The sequence below is a fragment of the Homo sapiens genome, chromosome 13 (assembly GCF_000001405.40).
Source record: "Homo sapiens chromosome 13, GRCh38.p14 Primary Assembly".
Classification (NCBI taxonomy): domain Eukaryota; kingdom Metazoa; phylum Chordata; class Mammalia; order Primates; family Hominidae; genus Homo; species Homo sapiens.
In genome coordinates this window covers 59,473,723-59,480,797 of record NC_000013.11, presented here as the reverse complement: position 1 = coordinate 59,480,797, position 7,075 = coordinate 59,473,723, and the positions used below count along the sequence as shown (strand labels likewise).

Genomic DNA, 7,075 nt, shown 5'->3' with positions numbered 1-7,075 from the left:
ATTACAGGCAACCTGGTGAGGGTATTTGTAGCACTGACCTCTAAGCAGGGATGCGTATGTTAGATCCAGCCTCCCTTTGAGGTTTCTCAGGCTTGACTATTTCTACATTTGGTGGGTACATCACTGTTTAAAAAATAAACTCAAAATTTGAGAATAACCGTATCCTTGACAAGATGTATCCTTTTCTAAGGAGGATTGCTGCAGCTGCCTAACAATGAATTACAACATTCCACAGCTGTCTGGGCAGGAAATGAAGAAAATTATCCTGGCTATCTCAAAATGGGTGTTTGGGGAATGGGGGAGAGTGTATGAGTTGCTAGAGAGTATTTTGGAATTAGGGCGCTGGGCCAGCCTGATCAATCTTATCTTGGATTACAGGGTCCTTGGCCATCAGATTTCAGAGAGTATTAAAAAAATTGAACAATCTAAAATCAAACAGTATGGTTACATAGATTCCAGATAGTGAACTAAAGTGAAAACTGTTATTTTTGGCCACAACCTGATTTTACTTCCTTATCCTCCCATCTGATGAATAAATTGCATTTAAAAATTAATATCCTAATTACCTTACAGTCAAATATGATGGAGCTATGAGTACAGGGGTATCATTTATTAATCATCCTTCCAATAGAGGACTATTCATATTATTTTCTATTTTCACTTTCTATGGTTTTTCTAGTGCAAACCAGAAAACCTGCTAGACCAATTCTAAAAGAGCTGTAACACTTAACATTCATATTTTCAAAAGACTTTGTTGGTTGAATAACTGTTCATTCATTTGGTCATTCTGTGTGCCCTCTACTGTGCTTCCTAAAGTTGCATTTCCCAAGCACATTTAAGAAGAGATTACTCCTCTCACCCAGGGACCTCCAATGGCTCCCCATTGTCTGCAGCAATGTTTCTCAAACATTCATGTGCATATGAGTCACCTGGGGATCTTGTAAAAATGCAGATTCTGATGCATTTGGTCCAGGGTGGCGCCTGGGCTTTTTGTATGTTGAAGTTTCCAGGTGTTTCCGAGGATGCTCTGGCTTTGACCTCACTTTGAGTGGCGTGGGTCTACAGGATGGGCCTGTCCCTCTACTCTCTGGCCTTCCCAGGACATTATTGTTTTTCCAGATACCTGCACAACCTCTGCTTCTATGCTTTTGGGATGCTAGTATTCATCCACATCTTACTTGCCTCTATCCACAGAGCCCATACTCTCCACAAGCTTTTCTCAGATTTGTCTCTACCCTGCCCAACAATCAGAAACACTGTCTCCCTCTCTTGTTCTCCTCTTGCATTTTGGTTGGAAATCAATTTTCCAACTTAGTACTGTCTGCTGGACTGTACATATTGGATGTGTATCTGTCTCTACCAATGAACTGTGAACCTCCGGTGGAGAACATCCCATTCTGTACATTTTACCTTCTTCTGCCGCATTCTGCACAATTCCTACATAGAGCAACTATAAATAAAAGTTGAATTGAATAAAATTCACAAATTGTATAAAATCTCTTTTCTAGATGGATTTCTCTTGACTGGGTGAAACTTGCTGACATTCAGATAAATCTCTTCAACGTTCTTTCCTGAAAGGATGTCTTACTCCTTGGTAGTTAGGGATCGCTCCTGGGTGTTTTTAAAAGAGATTTTGACTTAGAAGATCTGTGAATGTGACTATGTGGGCTAAGCTTCTTAAAGGGGCAACCCAGCTGAGAATCACAAAAGAAAGCGGAGGCTGCTACTTTTGCCGACCGACCGTACAAGCTGGGTTTTTATTGTTGCTAATGAGAGCCACTCGTGTTGACTGTCTAACAGGAAGTACCTTAATCCTTTCTCATTAGACTTCTAAAATTAGCCTTGCTTTGCCCTGCTGGAAGAATCATGAAATGTGCTACCTTTTCAGATTTAGGTGGGATGATAGAATTGAAGGTCCATTCCTAGAAGCTGGACAGATATTCCTAGCTGGGCAGTATTAATGAATAAGCTTTTTGAATCAGAGTGACCTGGGCTCTAATTTTAGTGCTGCAATGTGGTAACTTTGTCATCTTGAACAAATTAGTTAGCCAGTTTGATTCTCGGTTTTCTCATCTTTTAATGGGGTAATCATACCGCTTTGAAGGAGTATTAAGATTAAATGGAAGAATGTGTATCAACAAATAATGGTGAATGTTATTGCAATCAGAGCTCTCGCATGTCACCAGCCAATCTTTCAGGGCTGTAAGGGAAAACTATTTCCTTCTCTCCACCAACTAAAGGAAAACTGTTTTTTTTTTTTCCTCTACTCTCTACTACCCTCAATACTTTACTTCTGACACCAGATGTGTGGGTTTTCCACACCAGGCAATTCTCCAATTCTCTGTAGACACCAACTGTGTGTCCTACAATTTAAGTCAATTCTGACACGATCTACTTGGAGATAGCATCAAATCCCACAGGTTACGGGATCAGTCCCATAAGACTGGCCAGGTGTGGTGGCTCACGCCTGTAATCCCAGCAGTTTGGGAGGCCGAGGCGGACAGATCACAGGGTCAGGAGATGGAGACCATCCTGGCTAACACGGTGAAACCCCATCTCTACTAAAAATACAAAAAATTACCTGGGCGTGGTGGTGGGCGCCTGTAGTCCCAGCTACTCGGGAGGCTGAGGCAGGAGAATGGCGTGAACCTGGGAGGTGGAGCTTGCTGTGAGCCGAGATTGTGCCACTGCGCTCCAGCCTGGGCGACAGAGCGAAACTCCGTCTCAAAAAAACAAACAAAACAAAACAAAACAAAAAAAACGGCCTCTACTTCAGGCCGCTGACAGGTCCAGGTTGTCACCTGTGTTTCTGACTGGCTGGTTATAAATCAGAGGGTCCTGTGACATCCTCCTTGGGTTTGATAATTTGCTAGAATGGCTCACAAAACTCAGGAAAACATTTATTTACATTTACCAGTTAACTCAAGAACAGCTAAATGGAAGAGATGCAAAGGACAAGGCATGAAGGAAGGAACACAGAGCTTCCATGCCCACTCTGGGCATGTCATCCTCCTTAATCACCAACCCAGAAGTTCTCTAAACCCTGTCCTTTTGAGTTTTCATAGACATTTCATTCTGTAGGCATGATTGATGAAATTATTGACCAGTGATGATCAATTCAGGCTTCAGCTCCTTGCCCCTCGGAGGTTAGGGGTAAAGTTCCAACCTTCTAATCACATGATTAATTCCTCTGGCATCTAGCCCCCATCCAGTGATTTTCTAGGGGCTTTTGAAAAATCACCTCATTAATATAAACTTGGGTGTGGTTGAAAGGGGCTTGGTATGCATAACAAGAAACACTCTGGAGCTATTTTAGGAACCTGGGACAAAAGACCAAATATTATAACCAAAGATACTTCCGTAACTCTTATCACTTAGGAAATTACTAGGATTTTAGGAGCTGTGTGTCAGAAATGAGAATACGGACCAAATATGTATTTCTCATTATAAATCACAGTATCACGGGACTTAAAGTCTATCATCAGTGTTTGTTGATCGCATCTCAACTATTAAAAGCTGGGATGAGAGAAGGGCTCTTGACACACAGGTTCTGGCTGCTGTGTTGTACCCACTCACTGCCCCCACTAGTGGCAGAGGCAGTAACTTCATCAGTGACTTGATTCTATTCCAAATCCATCAAAATTGAGACTTTTTAATCTTTTCTGGATCATGGACTTCTTTCAAAATCTAATGAAAACTATTAACCTTCTCCCAAGAAAAGAAATGCAGGTATTTATATAATTTTGCTTTTATTTTCTGGAGGTTGATGAGCCCCAAGGTAAAAACCACTGCTTCCTCTATGTGCTTACAAACTTCTGGTCCCTCATGAGGCGAGAAGCCAAGAATAACACAACGAAGTTGAATTGGCACAATTAAAGATTAGGAAAGTTAGTGCAAGGATGGAGAGAAGCACTCACTTCTCCCCCAATTCATTTTTCCTGCTCAGGAAAACCTAGAGCCAAGATTAAGACTTGAAGGGTAGAGGGAGAGTGGTTTGATAATCTTTCCTGTTATATTTTGCATTGGGAATTATGGTCATTTAATTGTATCTGTGCATTTTAGATGGTTTCTGATATAATACGTTAATCTCCACAAGGTTTGTGATAAAAATGAGTAATATCCCAATTTAGGAAAGTTACTCTGTTTTAGACATGGAAGGAAAGCTGCCCAAGCAGCAAAGTATACTGCTCTTGGTCCAGGTGGTAGATCTCTGTGCAGGGCTGACTTGCATTAACAAACATGAACACAGTAGATGTGGAAACATGTCCAGGCCTTGCTCATCAGTTCCCATTTTCATACTTCCTGAGTAGTCTGGGAAACGTGGAAGGACAGCATGAATTCAATTTAACAGTCCAATAAGTGCCAAAGAAATGATCACATCTCTGAAAATAAGTGTTTTAGACAAAATTTTTCAGATGGTAAAAAAAGACAAATCCTTTGTTTAGTAAACAGCAAACACTTGATACATTAATCATCCAGCTGACATTAAGTGTAATCAAAGGTTCCGTTTTAGTTCAAATACAACTTATGTTCCCCAATTAATTACTTACAGGACTACGTAGTTTGCATTTTAAAATAAATGTTCTGCTTCCCAGATGTCTTCTTATAGGCATGCTGTGACCCTTCTTAGAGAGGCAGATTCTCTTATCACAGTGATTTCAAGGCCTGCTGGGGTGTGAAAAAACTGATATGGTTTAAGTACCACCTGCCATATTGGACCTAATAAGGAATTTGTGGAGCTGGAATGCAGTTCCTACACTTAAGTAGGTTATATTCTTGGCAAAGAAGCTGTGAATTGAGATGATGTCATTCAAGTTTGATTTTTTCCAGAGAAACATTATTATAATGGAGTTGTCTTCCTGACCAAGGGTTAAGTTTTAGTGGATTCACAAAAATGAGGCTATCATACTGGTAAGGAACCTCAAAGGAAATGTGGGTCAGTCCTCTTTCCTGAGTCAAAAAAGTGTTATCCTCACTTTTTCAGATGAGACAAGTGAGATTTCTTTAGAGGCTGTGTTCTGCTAATATGCTAATTATGAGTAGGGATTTTGGAGGGTAAGGGTAGGATCTAGTACAGAGCCATCCAATAGAACTTTTTGCAATGATAAAAATGTTCTCTATCTGTCCTGTCCAATACAGTAATGTAGCCACATGTGGCTGTTGAGTGCTTTAAATGTGGCTAATGTGACTAGGATACTAACATTTAGATTTTATATAATTCTAATTAAATTTAAATATGTGTAGTTACATGTGAAGAGAAGAGGTAAATTGAATATAATTCCTGGCATTTGAAAGGCAAGGCCTACGTAACAAAGTGAAAAGTATAACCAAGAAAATAAAATCAGATGAGATAACTACCTTGCTGGCTGCATTGGTTATTTTAAAATGAAGTTTGTTTTTGTTTGTTTGCTTGTTTGTTTGTTTTAGACAGGGTCTCCCTCTGTTTTCCAGGCTGGAGTGCAGTGGTATGATCTTGGCTCACTGAACTTCCCCTCCTGGGTTCAAGTGATCCTCCTGCCTCGGCATCCTGAGTAGCTGGGATTATAGGCATAAGCCACCATGCTGGGCTAACTTTTGTATTTTTAGTAGAGATGGGGTTTTGCCATGTTGCTCAGGCTGGTCTTGAACTTCTGGCCTCAAGTGCATAATGAAGTTTAAGGATCATCAATCTGCTGGACAATACCAAGGAAAGTCTCAGAGGCATTTAAAAAAAATATTTATGGTATAAGGAAGGAAAAGCACACACACACAAATCCCAGGGATATGGACAAGTACTAAATAAAATATTTAAACTTAAACAAATGCTGTATTTAATGACAGAGTTAGGACACATTTAAAGAAAAATTTCCTAAGGGTAATGGAGGAAGTTGCCATGGAAAATTGTGGAATATACTTTGAAAAACAAAACCAAAAGCAGTTTTGGACTGTGGCTGGCCATAGGTCTAGAAGCAAAATTTATACTACTGTAATTCTTTCCACTTATTTGGTTCTTACTTTCAATTTTAACATATCTACTTTCTCTTAATTTTGATACAAAATACTTAACACGAGATCTGTCTTAGCAAATATTTAAGCATACATGACAATATTGTTAATTATAAGCACAATGTTGTTCAGCAGACCTCTAGAAGTTTTTTCATCTTGCATGATTGAAACTTTGCTCATCAAAAAGCAGCTCCCCATTTCTTGTCAGCTCAGCTCCTGACAGCCACCATTCTATTTTCTGCTTTGATGAGCTAGACTCCTCATATAAGTGGAATGATACAGTATTTGTCCTTTTGTGACTGGCTTATTTTGCTTAGCATAGTGTCCTGAAGGTTCATCCATGTTGTAGTATATAACAAGATTTCCTTCCTTAAGGCCAAATAAAATTCAGTTATATGTATATGTCACTTTTTTGTCCATTTATTCATTGATGAACATTTAGTTGTTTGTACATCTTGGCTATTGTGAACAATGCTGCAGTGAACATGGGACGGCAAATATCTCTTTGAGATCCTGATTTCAGTTCTTTTGGATTAAAACTCAGAAAGCTGGATCATATAGTAATTCTATTTTTAGATTTTCGTCATAGTGGCTTCCACCATTTTACATTCCTCAGAGTGCACTAGGGTTCCAATTAATTTTTCCACATCTTTGTTTACCCTTATATTCCTTTTTTTTTTTTTTGAGACAGAGTGTCGCCCAGGCTGGAGTGCAGTGGCATGATCTCAGCTCACTGCAACCTCCACCTCCTGAGTTCAAGTGATTCTTCTGCCTCAGCCTCCCGCATAGCTGGGATTACAGGCGCCTACCACCGCGCCCAGCAATTTTTGTATTTTTGGTAGAGACGGGGTTTCACCACATTGGCCAGGCTGGTATCGAACTCCTCACCTCAGGTGATCTGCCCGCCTCGGCCTGTATTCTTTTTTAAAATTTATTTTTTACAGATGTGAGATGATATGTCATTGTAGTTTTGCATTTCTTTGATGATTGGTGATGCTGAACACCTTTTCATATTCCTGTTGGCTATTTGTATGTCTTCTTTGGAGAAATGTCCATTCAACTCTTTTTCTTATTTTTTAATAGGATTGGT

General features: G+C 39.7%; 1 pseudogene, besides 1 other annotated feature; it reads right to left on the bottom strand.

The window, feature by feature from the left end:
- On the bottom strand, positions 666–728 carry RNU7-88P (RNA, U7 small nuclear 88 pseudogene; annotated as a pseudogene).
- Positions 1,450–2,267: an enhancer, noted in NCBI's record as "OCT4-NANOG-H3K27ac-H3K4me1 hESC enhancer chr13:60052665-60053482 (GRCh37/hg19 assembly coordinates)". NCBI's record gives its function as "activates a minimal SCP1, AML or CMV promoter by ChIP-STARR-seq in naive H9 embryonic stem cells {active_cell/tissue: H9 hESC(naive)}" and the evidence as "EXISTENCE:reporter gene assay evidence [ECO:0000049][PMID:30033119]".